The sequence below is a fragment of the Homo sapiens genome, chromosome 18 (assembly GCF_000001405.40).
Source record: "Homo sapiens chromosome 18, GRCh38.p14 Primary Assembly".
NCBI classification, from domain to species: Eukaryota; Metazoa; Chordata; class Mammalia; order Primates; family Hominidae; genus Homo; species Homo sapiens.
In genome coordinates, this window is record NC_000018.10 from 67,857,554 (window position 1) to 67,875,766 (window position 18,213).

At 33.1% G+C, this 18,213-nt stretch overlaps 1 long non-coding RNA gene across 1 annotated transcript in view; it reads left to right on the plus strand.

Moving 5' to 3' along the window:
• DSEL-AS1 (DSEL antisense RNA 1) overlaps nucleotides 1-18,213 on the plus strand; it is a 383,074-nt gene that overhangs the window by 341,008 nt on the left and 23,853 nt on the right. The window contains exon 4 of the long non-coding RNA NR_033921.1: nucleotides 16,534-16,703. This is a non-coding gene — a long non-coding RNA (DSEL antisense RNA 1). The remainder of the gene's footprint in view (nucleotides 1-16,533; nucleotides 16,704-18,213) is intronic.

An 18,213-nucleotide genomic window follows, 5' to 3' on the forward strand; every position in this document is an offset into this window, starting at 1 on the left:
AAATCAGAAATACTAAATGACAGAGGACAAACAGAAATCAGGTTAGCAACTGCAGTAGCTGAAGTTAAAAGTTGCACAAAGAATAAACATTTGCAGTTGTCAAAAATGAATTAGAAAATTTTAGAGGAGTTAAGGCAGCATGACCTTTTAAAAGCACTTATTCATTGAACTCTTCAATAAATATTCATTAAGCGAACCTACTAGATATTGTCTTTGTTAGTACAAATAGAGTAGTGAACAAGTCAAATATCTCTCACTTCAGAGGCTTTACCATCTAGGAAATTTCTAGAAGCAATTCAGTTGAAAAAATTGAAACTCTTCATGATCAATAATAAGCTGGACTCAGTGTCCCAAGAAGCAGTGCCCTGGAAAAGGAAAACTGAGAGGATGGCTTAAACATCCTGTGTGTCATCCAATCATAACAGGACTTTCCAGTTTAATGTCCATCTGAATATTTGTATTTATTATCCATGTATTCAATACCTTTGAATTTAATACCCTCTAATACCCATGTCTGATTAGGTATTTTTTCAAATTATAAGTGTTACAATTTCTGACTATAAAAACAACATACAGACATAGAAGAAACACCCTATTGCATAGAGAAGGAAATAAAAGTCAGCGGTAATCCATCTGTAGTGAATTGAAAATTGTCCCTTTGTTCCTCCCATAGTCACATCCACAGGACATTCAGAATGAGACATTATTAGGAAATAGGGTCAGGGCTGATATAATGTGGATAAAAGTCTCTAGATAAAAGTCATCCTGGATAAAGTATGTCCTAAATCTCATGCCTTGTGACCTTAGAAAAGGAGAGGACACAAAGATGCAGAGAGAAATTCATATGAAGACAGAGACAGAGATTGGAGTGATGCTACCACAAGCCAAGGTATGCCAGGTACCACCACGAACTGCAAGGGGCAATACAAGATTCTTTCCTAGAGCCTCAGGGGAAGTGCCCTACTAACATTTTGATTTTTAACATCTGGGGTGCCCCCAGTACTATGAAACAATACATGTCTGTTGTTTGAAGCTATTCAGTTATTGATTTATGTCATGGTAGGCCTAGGAAGCTAATATATCAATTAGAATGTCCATGATGTCTATTGTAAACTGTTTGAAATCCACATATTTTTGTATAAATACATTCACATATTTTCGTATAAATGCATTCAGGGAGAGAGAGAGTCGATAAATGCATATTCAACTTTTAAAAAGAAGCTCTTCTTGAATTAAATTTGCAGTATTTTAAATAATTTGGTTAACTTGACTTAGACCTGTGAAATCACGGTGTGTCCTTTGTGGCCTGAATTCCTAGTTACAGGAAGAGGTAACAAAGAACAGAAAGAAATGAGCAGAGTAAACATAGCTAATGGCACAGAGGGCTCCTAGCAAAGAAAAGAGGGAAAGGGGAATTTAAACCCTTCTGAAGGAGTAATGTAGAAGAATTGAACTCTGAAACAGATATCTAATATATTCTGCACATAGTATATATATATAGACATAGTTGCAAAATGACTCCTGTTATTTCCAAAGCGTTAAGATACTTTGAAAACTTTTCTAGAAAGTTTTACCCTCTTTTTTAAATTCCCTGTAATCTGTGGTCTTTTATGGCTTGTTTCTTACCTGATGTGTTCTATCAAAAGCATTCAAACTAAAACTGTTGTTATGTTTGAAAATGAGGAAAACTGCTTTGGTATAACAGTGTGGAATTGTGAGCCGTGAATTACACCTTACAAAATGTTTCTAAAATCATAACATTGGCTCCCTACAAAGCTTCTGGGCATGTAATCATATCTCTTTCTCAGGTATATGTGGGAGGATGGGAAACCCAGGTCTGGAGGTAATTTACATATGTTAATATGAGGGAGAATAGAGAATAAGGGAGGCAACACCTAACACTTACTTAATTTTGTTACCATTTTGAAAGCACTTGCTTTTTGAATTAGAACATGTTCCTGTAGAATTCACCCTACACATTCCAACCCATTTAAGAGTGAAAATACTGAGAATAAATCTCTCTGGACTATGTTCTGCAAAATTCCCCTGTTCATTTCTTCTAAACTGTGTGATGTATTTTTTCTACAATGTGGGATGTAAATTGTGTATATGTGTGTGTGTATGTGTGTGTGTATCCCTGTGTGCCTTGGCATCCACAAAGGTGTCACCACAGGGTTTGGGCAATGGCATATATATATATATATATATATATATATATATATGCCATATGTGTGTGTGTGTGTGTGTGCGTGTGTATATATATATATATGCCATATATGTGTGTGTATATATATATATGCCATATATGTGTGTGTGTGTGTGTGTGTGTATATATATATATATATATATATATATATATATTCGAATAGGTACACATGTACCAAAATAGCTCTGATATTAGAGGCTACCTTGAAAATGTGTGTCTTTCTGATGCCTATAAAAATCAATAGGACTTTTTTTGAGAAAATAATAAGGCTAATTTCTATAAGGAAAATAAATATAACAGCTTCAAAATCTAGAACTACTTAACATATTTTCAAATGAATTTGCTGGAAAATTACTGTTAGTAAAGATTTTATTGGAAACAATAGTGATTAATATTTCAAAATAAGCAGAAAAGCTTAGTTGGACTTGTGAGATTTTTAAAAGAACAGCGAAAAAAGCCTTTGAGAGATGATAAAATTAAGCTAGAGAAATATAACTCACCTAAAGCCCCACAAGCCAGTGACTGGAAAATGCATACATTACAAGCCTGGATAGGAAAGAATTTAAAATCTGACACATGGTATCAATCAGGGGCCAGCAGCCAGTGCTAAGTTTAATAACCTCTTCTACCTATGTTGATGACAACTCGAAGAAATTCATGAGCTGTACAATTTCAAGAGGTTCTCCTCTTGTCTGATAGCAATTACCTGGGCTTCGCTTCTACAGCTCTAAGAGGTTATAAAAAAGTTCAGTATCTGTGAAGAAAAAGAACTCACCAATCTATATGAGAAAAGTAGGCATAAATTGTCACAAACAGTTTTGAAAAGTTATAAAGTTGGTTTTGTTCTTCAAATAATATGAACAGACAAGAGCATATTCATGCAGTATTTTATTATGTAATGTATACAATATTTACATATAAAGTCTTGTTAATATCTGACTATGACACATTTTGTTTTTACTATTGATATTTAATTGAAACTATATGTATTAACATTTCAGAGCTTTGCTATTGCAGCATTAAGACTTCTAAATTATATTAACAAAATATTCTGAAGTGTACTTTTTAAAATATACAGCATAGAAACAATAGTTTTACAGTGGTGTTAGATGAGGGTTACTAAAGATTCTTAGTAGATAATATTAAATAATATATTTCCATTTTAAATGAGATCTGACAAGCAAATCCAAAGAGACTGTCAGTATTTTTAATGAAAACTTCACTTTTAAAACTAGCACATCCTATACATATTTTACTGAGGTAAAGGGAAGAACATTTGACTTTGCAATTAGTGATTTTGCATTTTGCTGGTGAAATTAGCCTATGGCTTATATGAACTTTGATAATTAGTTATTAAATCATGAAGTATATGGGACAATTAAATAATACACTTTACCTCATACTTCACTATGCTTGTAAAATATTTTCTTACACCTTGCAATCAATTTGGCAACTTCTGAAAGAGTTCATGTTAAAACATCTCCACAACAGTAATAGTCAATGTGTCTATTTCTGTAAGAAAAGCATATCTTCATTCAGCTTGTTTTCACTGATCAATATGGCATATCAAACCAGAATGTCTTAAAAATGGGCAAAACAGAGAATATTTGCCTTATATTGATTTCATTTGCAAATTGTCAAATGAATGCTGGTATATGAGACACAAAAATAATTTTATGATGGAAGTGTGTAAGAGATTTCAATTTAAGAAAAATAAGGACATTTGTACCTATTAGTATTAAAAGTGATTTAATTTTTTGTGAACAAAAACATTAGTTTTACACTTTAAAATGGACGTACATTAACTTGAAAACCGAAACAAAATAATGAGTAATAAAAATGTGCCAAGTTTATGAAATATGAAGATAAGTTTAAACTGCACAGTTTACATATACTGTTATTGATTAATATTTACATGCTTTACAAGAACAAAATAAAGAACCAAACAAAAATTTAAGAATAAAGTCCCGTAGCACAGCTGTGGCACTGAAAAATACACACACATACACACACACACGCACATACACACACACTATTTTGGTCCTCCATATAAATAAAAAGTAAGTGAAATAAGAAACACATTTGAATTAGAAGTGTGTGCACAATGTATATACCAGTAAAATATGTGTAAGGAAATAAATGTGAATTGATTCCATCATTATATATTTGAGATTGATTTTACTGTTGAGATATGTTGAGTAGCACCATTTGATGATTAGGTGGGAACATTATGACACTGGTTCACTAATAGTAAGTACAAATTTTTCTCCTAAAGGTTTTCTTATGGTAACTTTTACTGAAACTTGATATGTTAATTTTTCCTGAAGTAATAGCCGAACATTAATTATTATCAACATTATCTAAGATATAAGTCTGAACTAGGATATTTATAATGGAAATGTGGTAGACAGAGGCACTTTATTTTGGTCTTAAAAACTTCTGTTTAACATATTTCAGTCTTCTGTTCTATGGTAATACCAAAAATAACACTTTAAAAAAATTCAAGGAATGTTAGACATCAGGCTCACTACAGAACTATTTGCAAAGTAACTTCAAATTCCATACTTGCTACAAATGGAATGAATGCAGGGCAATAAAGAAAATATGCAAATCCTTTTATTTTTGTATCAATATATGATTTTGTATGCCAGAAGATATTGGAATTGTGTGAGCTGGTAGATTTGAAAGAAATACAAAAGAAAAACAGGAATGGTAAAGAATGATGCAAGGTAAATTTTAATACTACTGGAATGTAGACTGTTATCATTTTGCAATTCAAATCCAATAAATTTGATTTTAGTAAACTCGATTGAGTTTACTATATAGGTTGTTGCAAACATAATTGCAGTTTTGGCCATTAAACGTAATGGCCAAACCATTGTAATGGCCAAACAGCAATTACTTTTGCACCAACCTAATAAAAAAGTTCTAAGAAATGGATATAGCTATCATTCCCTTGACCCGATCACCTTCCTTTCTTAGTAATCTTACTAAAACCTTAGTAATGTTACTTAGTAATATATCTAAAACCTTAGTTTTTTAGTAAATACTCTTAGATTTTAAATTCAAATATCTCTATCAGAATTTTCATCCAGGAATACTCCTTCTATGTGAAATAATTTATTATGTTCCATTTATTCTGCTTCATGTAATGTTGGCATAATTATAAGGGAGTGATATACTCTTATTTAAATTGTATTTTTTCTACAGCTGAGAATTTTTTTTTTAAAGGAAACCACCATATTGGGTAAACTAGCATCTGCATGTAGGAAATAACAAACTGTCAAAATATTGATGATTCAATGTAAATAACCTCATCCTGGTTAAAGTAAAACACCAGCTTTATTAAGGCCACATATTTTTCCTAAATAACACATTATTTTAAAATTTTATGTATATATTTCAGAAAATTCCCTCTACCATGTTATGTGAAGCATTATAAAAGTAAAATGTTTTCAGATAGACCTGTAGCTAATATTATTTTAAAATTGGGCCCACAAATAAGAAACACACTTTCAAAATGAAAGAACTCTTTTGTTTTGAATCATGAACTCTGACATTTGCTAATTTGCATAATAATAGTCAACTAGCTCATCCTTCTATAACTTGGGTAGAAAAATAAACGACCAAATAAACAACTTGAGAATAAAGCCCATAGCATAATAGTAGTACTTAAAAATACACAAACACACACACTATATTTGATCCTCTACAAGTTAAATCACATCACTACTCATTGGATAAATGTAAACCAAAACCACAAAGAAATATCATCTCATACCAGTCAGAATGACTTTTATTAAAAAGTATAAAAACAACAGAATCTGGCAAGGCTGTGGCAAAAAGCAAATGCTTATACACGGTTGGTGGAAATGTAAACTAGTTTAGTCACTGTGGAAAGCAGTTTGGAGATTTCTCAAAGAACTTAAAACAGAACTACCATTCCACCCAGCAGTCCCATTACTGGGTATATACCCAAAAGAAAACACATTGTTCTACCAAAAAGACACATGTACTTGTGTGTTCATCACTGTGCTATTCACAGTAAAAAAGTCATGGAGTTAACCTAGGTGCCCATCAGCTGTGGATTGGATAAAGAAAATCTGCTATATATACATCATGGAATACTATGCAGTCATAAAAAAGAGTGAAATCATATCCTTTGCAGCAACATGGATGCAGATGGAGCCATAATCCTTAGCAAGTTAATAAAGGAATGGAAAACTAAATGCCACATGTTATATCTTATAAGTGGGAGATGAACTTTGAGTACTCGTGGACATAAAGATGACAACAATACACACCGGAAACTATCGGGAAGAGGGAGGGGTCAAGATTTTTAAAAATCTCCATTGGGTACTATGCTCACTACCTGGGTGATGGGATCAATCATACTTCAAACATCAGCATCACACCATATATTCATGTAACGAACCTACACATGTACCCCTGAATCTAAAATAAAAGTCGAAAAAGATGTTTGAATCAATAGTGTGTACACAATGTGTGTGTGTGTGTGTGCGTGTGTGTGTGTATATAAGTATGTAATCAGTTAATATGTGCAAGAAAATACAACTGGAGGCCGGGCGCGGTGGCTCACGCCTGTAATCCCAGCACTTTGGGAGGCTGAGGCTGGCGGATCACAAGGTCAGGATATCGAGACCATCCTGGCTAACGCGGTGAAACCCTGTCTCTACTAAAAATACAAAAAAATTAGCCGGGCGTGGTGGCGGGCGCCAGTAGTCCCAGCTACTGGGGAGTCCGAGGCAGGAGAATGGCGTGAACCCAGGAGGCGGAGCTTGCAGTGAGCTGAGATTGCACCACTGCACTCGAGCCTGGGCGAAAGAGCGAGACTCTGTCTCAAAAAAAAAAAAAAAACAAAAAAAAAAAAACAAAAAAAAAAAAAGAAAATACAGCTGGATCCTATCATGATATATTTGAGATTGATATTATTGTTGGGAGGCTACTCTCTTGGGGGAAAAAGAAATAGACCCTCGTTATGTCCCAAATCTGTTCCTATTTTGCACCTGTACCTTTACTTGGCTAGAGAAAAATGAAATTGAGAAACATAAATTGCAAGTTGGTGCCACCTGTTGAACTGTCATTGATGTTACTGTTGAGTTTGCTTTTCTATATTTTTTAATGGCTATATTAGTCATTCTCCTTTTTCCTCAGTTTTCTCACATCTCTTCACCACTCTTACATACAGGGGCTGACGTTGCTTCTTAATTCAGTAAGAAAATTCCAGTTCTCACAAAATAAATTTCAAAACCTCCCCAACTCACAACTTCTCACTTACTGGCATTAGTGCCATATAGTACATCTTCCCTCTTGTTTTTTTTTATGAGACAGCACATTCCTGAGATGGGGAAAAGTCATATAAAAGTATGACACACAACAAATTATCAGTATTATTGCATGTAAAAGAATTTAGATACTGCAGAAACAAAAACAAGTGTTACCAAGTCCACATGGCTTGGTTTTCCTGAACAGCTAAGCAGTTCTTTTCAGCACATTTATCTTTTCAGAACCTTCCTCTTTAAGAAACCTGTGAGTCACTTGTGCATGGCTTTGTCCCATCTTGACCTCTTCAGGGCATTAGGACAACTATTTTCCTCTGTCCCTGGTATCCTCAGGATTACCCTCATCTGCATTTGAATATTGCTCTCATATAAAAAGTTACTTCTTGGACCTCCCCATTAACACCAGATCCATCTTTTTTTCTTGATTTTCCAGTCTTTCCCTGCTATCTCTGTATTAAAACTGTTCTTGTAAAAAGCCCCTAATAACTGACAACGACTGAATGTAGAGTAAATTCTCAGTATCCCTCTTGCGTAACCTTTCCATAACTTCTCAGCCTTATTTAACAGTGCCGATTATTTCCTTTTCCTTACAATACTGTTCCTAGACCATGCTTTCATGGCTTTCCTCCTATTTCGCCACTACCCTTCCCATTTTTCCTTTGGTGCTTCCCTTACTTTCTCTTAATTGACTGTGGTGATTCCCAGGGCTTAGTCTTTGAATTCTTCCCATTTTATATCCACATTTATTCCCTTGATCTTCTCTAGAAATATCTTCAAATATATCTCAAGTTGGTATGTCAGCATGGACCAGTCCTGTTAACTCGAGTCTGTATTCTGCTGCTTATGTGAAATCTGCAACAGTTCCTCTTTTGAACATGCTGATCTTAACATACCCAAGGCTAAATATCTGGTTTCCTCAATGTGACCTGATAGAGTTTTATACTTCATTTTCCTCATAATGAACACACAATAGCGTCATTCTTAGCTTTTTTCTTTCACATCCAAATCTATCTGATCCATAAATCCTGTTGACTCAACTTTCAAAATATTTAGAATCTCATCACTTTGGAAACCCTGGATAATTAGATCCAAGCTTAGAAGATACTTTCTATGGACTGTTGCAAATGTCCCCTACAAATGATTTCACTGCTCCCCCTTTTGTCGCTCACAGTGTCTTCTTAAACCAGCAGCCAATATGATCTTATTAAAATGAAAGACAGATGCTAATGGCACTTTTCTCAAACCCTTCGATGGTTTTCTGTTTCTATACTAAAAGCTAAATGAACTTTCCAAATATTTCCTCTCCGATTACTCCATTCCAGTCTCCTCTGCCTGGCCTGCAACAGGCATGCTGTTTCCTCACAGCCATGGACATGATAGCCTTCTGCCTGAAGAAATCTGTCCCCACACTTACAAATAGTTTGTTCACTCACCTGACCCCAGTCCTTGTTCAATCACAACCCACCTATTGAGGCCAACACTGATTGCTCCTTTTAAAAATATTAACAACAATCACCCATGGTTCCCATTGCCTTTACATTGTCTTGTTTCCTTCCTTTGTTCTTAACACCTTCTAAGATATTATATCATTACTTTATTATGTTTATTGTTATGGTTCGGAGATATTTTCAAATTTTTACTTTGTATAGTATGTATCTGGAGCAGTATTCAACAAAATACTATATTTGGAATCCAAGTGTTTATTATGGCTTTTAAAAAAATTAGTCTGTAGATTAAAAATAAATACATAAAGCTAGCCAAATAAATATGCCTACCTCTTGTGTTTTGCACTGACAATCCAAAGGATCATGTGACTGTAGAATGTTCCATTCTATTTGCTTGGGCAGATGAGGCAGGAGAGGAAGAGCAGGGTGAGAGAGGCAGAAGCAGAGGAGGTGTGCAGTGAGAGGCAGACGGTATGCAGAAACTCAGAGGACTCATATTTATCTACCTTATTTGTTTTCTTGGTTTATGGTTTGGCCTTAAGATATTCCATCATTTTAATTCTAATTTTCAGCAGCTAGAAATATTTATATTGGTAGCTAAATTAATATAATGTGGAAATATTGGCATTGTAAGCACCCAAAGGAATAATAATTAATTTTGCTATGGAGTAATGTTTTAGATTTATCTTTCCCTTTGCATGGAATTTAAATCATATTGTCCCTTATGAGTACAAAATAGCTTACCTGCAAGTCTAGCTCACTTTGAATCAATGATTACAACTGATAACACTGTATGTCATGTTTCAGAGCAAAACCGCTGATGTCTTTAAAATTAAAGTCATTGGCATAGTCTACTTTATGAGTTAGGTATGACTGAGTTAGGCTCTTTCTTTGATCTATAGATTTAAATTTTCAGTTTATCTTAAATTGAACTATTAGTAGAGAAAATTAATTGCAGTTATGCTAGTCTACTAAAAATAAGAGATCACTGGATTGCATATGAAAAGGAATAATTTCCATTCTTCATGTAGCTTTGCTATCACCTGTAACGACATAGTTGAACTACAGGTATTAAGATATACTTTACTTTTCAAAGAATCTGCGTTACATAACAGTCATTGATAACTCTTTTTTTTTGTTTTTTGGTAGTGTTAATGCAAGATATTACTATGTTAAATCCTAATTTGCATATATCCTAGTTCATTTTAAAAAACATGATTCTTATAATTAAGAATGTAATGAATGTTACATCTTCAGTTAACCATGCTAAAATTTGTGCTGGTCTTTAGGAATGAGCGAAAAATTGTAAATTAAAATGTTTGGTTCTGTATTTGCTAGATTTGGATACCAGAGCAAGTTACCCACATACTTTCTATATTTTTATAGAAATTACTGATTTATAGTATGTATTTATATTTTTCTTCATGTGTGCAAAGGTATTACTATTTTCAAAATGTTAATGTTTATAAATGAAAGAATATGTATACTCATTTCAGAATGGGTGGAAATAAAATTCAAGTTTAGACATTGGTATTTTAAACATAATGATATTAGATTCTGTATTTCTCTCAATGAAAACAATATATGAGCAGACAGTTAATGTCCTCATGTCTTTTAAAAATAGCTCTTTTCTTTGGATGTATATTTTATAAATTAATTAAGTAAAAATGTGAATAGGTGTTTGCTATAATAAGCTTAATTTATGCACAACAATAAATATGTCACCATTTATTCTAAGAATAAGAAAACTACTAATTCAGTATTGATAAGGTTAAATATTGCTAAAACATTGACTGCTCAGGAGACATAGAAGGTTTTCTTGTAAATATGATAATATAGAAAATGGAATACAGCTATATTATCTCTATACTTATAGTTGCCTGTCTTTCTATAATCTGTCTCTATTATCTATGTATCTATCCTTTGATCAAACTTTAATATGCATTACACAGTTTTCAGAAACACATTTAATATAAATTAAGTCTACTACCATCCTAAATTTTGGAATGACCCCCAATAAGTTCCTCTGTGAATTACAACATAATTCTGAAATTAGGAAGGGATTCAAATTGAGCTGTGGACTCTCAAAATTGGTTCTCGCATTAGATTTAAATGGAAATCTAATACTCCCCTACCTTTTGAAAGAACACAGAGTTTTCTTAAAGCAGAGTGTGTAGCCTGAGAGATTAATTTTGTCACTGGTACCCTTACAAGCATGCTTCCCTAGAACCATAAGACATTGTGTGACATTCTGATCAAAATAATCTGTAAAGACTGAGCCATACTATGTGATGAAGATTAACAATTAATTATTCCAGGCTAATTCTTGACCTTTTACAGGAAACCTTGTTAAATGAGATTTAATGACATATGGAGAATAAGCCATTTTTGTGATGCATTCATGAAGTGAGAATTTTTGCAGTTTCTAACTTGCAAAATCAATACAAAAGTAGAATATGATTTAGAAGGTTTTTGGGTGATAAATAAGGGGAAAAAGGGAAGAAATCTAATAGACTAATAAATGAATACCAAAACATACTTCAAAAATGGCCTCACTGTATATCATAGACAGGAAAAAGCATTAGCTTTAGCCAAGCCGTTTTTGTGCACCCTGTTTCTAAGCTATCAATCACAGCCCCCACATGCCAATTAGAGGAGGCCAGGTGAGAAGTACCCACCTGAGTCTCCTTGAAAACTCCAGGTGGAAAACATTTTTAGTGTAAATGGAGAGTGCTAGGGACATTTTTTCGAATGAGTCATAAAAGGAAACCTAGTGTTCTTTCTACTTAGGCTTAGAACATCATTTTAGATGCTTCTCCTGGCTGAGCAGAGATTTAGAAACTGGAAATCATTTTCAAACAAACACAGTACCGGCTGGCATGTAACTATTAAATTCATCAGGGCAATACATTTCAAATGAAAAGTTTGTAGTATAAAAATAAAGTAAAATGATTTTTACAATTCATGTACTGGTACTGCAATCTATATAGGTAGATAAAAAGGAATTGGAAAACAGTAAACAAACTATACATTAATTTAAACTAAAATGAACACACACTTTCTTATATCTACTTCCTTACATTAAGATTATTAGTATCAGACTTACAAAAGGCGAGTGTGTGTATCTTGAAACAAAAATGCAGTTCATAAGCTTTGAATATGCAATGAATAGATGTAGACTTTGTCCTTATCAGTTGAAAATAAAATTAACAGGTTTTTGTATATTAAAGTTGGGATTTCTGTTACAGTTAGAAAACACAATTTAGAGTCATGAAATAAAATTCCTTCCACTAAGGTTTTTGAAATTAAAAACCCCAGTTATTTGCTATGTGTCCTTCTCATTCCAAAAGTTATATCTCTGAAGAAACCAGCCCTAAAGAGCTTAGTGCCCAATCAGAACAGCACTATTCACAGTAATATGGAATCAATCTAGGTGTCCATCAGTGGATGAGTGGATAAACAAAATGTGTTACATATACATCACGGAATATTATTCAGCCATAAAAATTGAAATCCTGTCATTTGCAACAACATGGAACTGGAGGATATTATGTTACATGAAATAAGCCAGGAACGGGAAAACAAATATTGCATATTATTACACATAGGCAGGAGCTAAAAATGTAAGAACTCTGAGATAGAGAGTAGAACGACAGTTACCAGGGGTTCAAAAGAAGAGCAGCCTGCATTGGGGTGTGGATAAAGAAGAGACGGTAAATGGGTACAAAATTACAGTTAGAGAGAAGGAAGAAGATTTAGTATTTGATAGCACAGTAGGGTAACAATAGCTAACAACAATTTATTGTATATTTTTAAATAGCTAAAAGATTGGAAATGGAATGTTCTTAACACAAAGAAATGATAACTACTTAAAGTGATGGATACCTTATTAACCTGATGTGAACTATTATGTACCCATAATAATTAAAAATTAAAACAAAAAGTAATATTAGAACACCTTCACTCACAAAGCCAGTTCATACAAACTACATAAATGACCATCGAGAGTACACTAACAGATTTTCATATATTTCTGTAATGAAACATTACTGAAGAATAAAAATAATTTACTTATTAATAAATAACATAGATGAATTTTACAAATATGCTGTGCAAAATAATGTAGGCATTACACAAAAGGACATGAGGAAATTTCAAGAAGAATGGAAAGGGCCTAGGCCTTGAATTACATTATAAAATAATAGAGGTACACATTTGCAAAAACTCATTGAATTATATACATTAAAATTTTGCACTTTAGAATATATTTTATTATATTAAATGTATACATTTGTATTGAACATAAATATACCTCAATAGAATTTTAAAAGCAAAAGTAAAGCAGGTAGAATATTGGGAGGCTATTGTTCTAGTTCATCTGAAGAAAATTAGGGCTTGGACTAAGGTGGTCATGGTACAATTAGGGCGTAAGCAGGCTAAGGATAGGTTTTGGGAGTTGATAGAATTTGCTAATGTAGACATACTCTTTTAGCTGAGGGAGATAATGAAGTAAAATAAATTTGTAGTCTTTTTCTATTTTCCATTTTTGTTATAAATATTAATTCATCCATGTTAACAGTTATTACTATTGGAGATAATATTCATTCTGCTTAACTTTCATACTTATAAGCATATTTAACATATATATATACACATTCTTATATATACACACATGCATCTTGCAAACTATAATATAACAAATAGAATTGCATTTTATAATTAAATATAACAAATAAATAGTTATATGAGTCCTTCAAAATGTAACAGATTTTAACAAGGTCGAGTTGTTCTTACATCAATATTATTGCTTTTAAGCATCTGAAATTGCAATATAATGTATTTCCCATTCTTATCAAAAGATCATTCAAAGCATTTTAGCCTTCATTCTTTAGCTTCTTTAAGAAAAAAGTCAAAAAGAGTCTCTATTTGAAATGATAGCATATAAGTTATTGAATTTTTAGTAATCATTAGCACAATAAGGAACTGCGTAGCTAACTAGCCACTAGAGATAAACCAAGATAATCTGTACTTTTGGCCTAGTGACCTGGCGAAAATATGTTTCTTTTCTCCCACCTTGTTTATAAGGTCCTATTTTACCTCTTAAGCAAAGAAAACATCTCTGTATCTATAAATTGCTTGTTATCGAGATCTCTTGGAATTATGAGGGCTTTCAGTATAGTTCACTTTAGAATATCTGTCAGTAACTTGCCCTATTGGTATACTTCTTAAAGATTCAGTTTAAATCAAGCACCTTTTCAGGATTCCAGTAAGATCCTACCTCTCCCTTGGTTCATTCTACTCTATACCAGCTTTATTTCCTGTCTGCTCCTTACCTAAATTCAGCTGAGACTTCGTTGTTACTACAGCTGGGGGTCTTGCAGATGTAGTACTAACCACATTGCAACACCCAAGACAGCTCAAGCCTGTTGCAAACATAGTGAAGTAAAACAATATTATGTTATTTGAGAAATTCCTTAATTCTAAGTGTTGTGTATTATTCAAATCATTTGTCTCATGCACTAAGCCCTTCTGTTAAAACTTTGAGAGAATAAGTATGTTTTAACATATTTGGTCACAAATATCTTAGCTAGGATTGGTTTGCTGAATTAATTTCTAATGAGATATCAGGGAAGGGGACGTAAGTCAATGCATCTTGATGAGAGGAAAAAAGTAGGGGAAGGCGAGACCATTAATGTTAATTCAAAGACCTACCCTTAAAGCCTTGGCCAGGTGTTGGGATGGGGTGATTGGTTCAGAAAGGGGTGACCCACAGACAGCATGGGCCACAATGAGACAGCACCAGCACAGAGTGACATACAAAACAACAACCACAACAAAACAAACAAACAAACAGAAAGCAGAGAAGACCAGAGGTTGAAATAAGTGACGTTCTCAGTGCAATAAAGTCTGTGTTACTAAGATGAAATGATTTTAAAATCCAATTGTAAGTGAGGACTTTTAAAAAATGTTACATCATTCCAAAATTTGACTACTTTATGATTTCCCTCTTATGAAAGCTTTCAAAGTCACTGTTACTGATGTAGAACCCTTAGGTATACGATTTAGATATTTAAATACTATCCAAATATATTGAAGACAAAAGTCTTGATATCATTTTACAGTTGTGATGTATGTGTGTCTAGTATTTTTGAATGGCAATTATGTCTCCATCTGATGTTTATTGGGACAGTATACTGACATTTCTTAGGGTTTGCATGATTTATTTTAAAGTCTGGGATCATAGGTAAGGAAATATTCATGAGTGTCAACCAGTTCCTCTACTGCACTAATTCTTTTTAACACTGTGCCTTATAGTTTACTGTCACCTGCACTTGTCAGAGTGCTTGTGCCCCAGCTCCTTTCCTTACACTTTCTTGGATAATTATCTTTGGAAAGTTAGCCAAGAGAAAGTGAGAACATGCTCCCTCTGGTTATGCTGCATGTAGCTAGTTTTACACCACTGTAGATTGGCATATTCCTAGATGGGCCTTCTACTACTTTTTTTTCTCTGCAAATCAGCATCACAAAAACAGTAAAAATTACACATATCAATTCTCAAGGAGAAACCTTCTAGCTTATACTTTTCAAAAATTTTGATTTGTGAAGTCATTTGATTATGAACACAATAAGAGGCCTCATTTTTTTTCCTATTAAATCTCACTGATGAGATATGTGTATAGATTAGATGACTCAGAATACCCTTAACTTTGTAATGATAGCCACAAATTCTACTTGTTTTCACATATTGACCCTGACTTTGCATTAGCATCTTCACAGGGTTTAATGTCACTTTACCTGTTTACTGAGTTAGAACTCAGATGGAAATATTTACAGGATTATTAGTTTTATTTCTGATTTTCATGGATTTTATTATCCTAATTGAGAAAAATACATTAATAGAGCTCTTTGCATATTTTGTCATAAGTATCCAAATTTCTATTGATGTGTTAAAAAGCAAGGAAATATAATAAATATAAAGCCTCTTCCTCATAACAACATTAACAAGAATTCATAAATATCTTGTCCATATGTGTATATCTATAAATCTATATAGTTTTTGAGACCAAATGACTGTTAATATTGAAGCTTTCAAACATACGTAATTCTAATTTGGGAAAAATAATTAAAATCAGAGGTGTTCCTTGAAGTATTTCTAGTCTGTGGTAATAGCCTAGTTCTTGGTCAATGATAAATTGAGCTGATTGTGAAAACTTAGCTCAAAATCCAGGGAAATCTGAGAATATCCAAAACTCCTTATCTTCTACAGTTGTAGAATCCCCAAGTCCCATACTAACTATGCAATTTTAGTCTACAGTCACACATCACTCCTGGGGCTACCTTAGAGGAAATAATTCAGATATATTAATAAGTACATATTTAATTAATTAAATTCTAGTTTGACCTAACAATGTTAAAGTGGGCACTGTATATCAATAGGGATAGCTAGGTTATGTTGTGGTAAAAAAAATGAGAAATTACCTCTGGCTTAGAAAACCAGAGCTCAATTTCTAGCTTATATATACCATGTCTTTTTTCATACCTTAGCTGCAGTGATTCTCCCATGTTTTATTTACTCCAGAATCCACCCTGAAACAGCAAACTGTAACTAGATGGAAGGATAAAAATAAACATGGCAAAGCATCCACCCATCTTGAAAACTTCTGCTCAGAGGTGGCATCCATCACTATGCCTGACGTCAGTGGAACGGAAAAGTGGGACCCTCATGTCTTGGAAATGCAGCACTTATTGGTAAACAATATATACTATATTATAGACACATATAGCACCATATCCCACTGGAGTATTTATGTATTCGACTCACAAAAGGAAATCCAAATCTGCCTTTTAAAACACTGATTATCTGATCCTCGAAAGTGTTTAATCAGCCTCTCTTCTTGTCCCAGTTTCCAGAAAGCGATTTCAACAGGTTTGGGGGCATACGTTCAGGGCCCGTGCCCCTTCATGGCATGTGTGTTGAGTTGTTATGATGTAGCTGGTATCTACATGGGCTCTGAGGCTACACTCCTTGGGTTCACATACTAGCTTTGCACTAACCAGTTGGGTCCTAGGTCACCTAAGACAATCTCTTTTTGAACTAATTGCCTCTTTAACAAACTGTGAATAATAATAGTTTCTACCTCCCTCAAAAGACTGTGGTGAGGATTAAATAGATAGGCCTGCAAGGTGTTTAGAAAAGTGCCTAATATCTATTAAGTGTTCTTTAGTGTTATATACTTAAAGTTTTTAACTTTTGGTTTACACAAACATGCATGACTTCAACATCTGTGTTTCTTACACGTGAATAGCCATATAGATCTATCAGTTGAGTACATCAGATATTCAAAAGTGATTCATACTATATATAGCTTTTTGAAAAATATTTTTCTATCTCAATTATTGTAAAACAAGCTGTATTATTCTTAAAAATATTTTTAAAAATTTAAAAAAATTTAAAAATATGTAGGTGTGATAGCGTTGATGGACACACTATAAATATTTGGTGAATGAAGTCTTACTTTCTTCCTTCATGTCAAGGAAAAAGTTTTTTTTAAATACATTTTTAGTATTAAGGACATCACTGATAATGAAAAAATAATAACAGGTGGCATTATTTAAAATGTACTAAGGTATGACTCAGTCATCATGCTAAAGCATTATTGTACCTTATATAAACATGACTGTAATTCGATGTTTTAAATTCTAGGTAGTATGAACCCTAATTTATAAATGAGACCACTGAGGCTTGAAAAGCACAGCAATTAGTCCCACAATGCAGGGCAGTGTGTGTCACAAGAATGGAATTTATTGCAGAAGACCTGACCTGGAGCTTGTGCTCTATTCACTACATTTACCTTTGCATATTATTTCATCATAAAGTTAAAATTTTAAAACTTATAGAACAAAATATGATCACAAATATTTGTGACTTGACTGTGACAGATATTTTTAAATTAGAAAAAGTAAAGTTATAAAATTACAAATTAAATAAATTAAACTCTATCAAAATTAAAAACGTAAAGAAAAATCTCTCTGAGACATTGTTCAGAAAATGTAAATGCAAACCACAGCCTGACAGAAAATATTTGCAAAAAAAATGTGATGAAAGGCTTGTATTTGAAATACAAATAATTCCTAAAAATAAGAAAACAAATGAATGAAATAGTTGAATTGATTTGTACAGATTCTTCTCCAGAGAACATATACAAGTTGCAAATAAACACATGAAATGATGAACAACAAGGAGTCACTATGAAGAGGG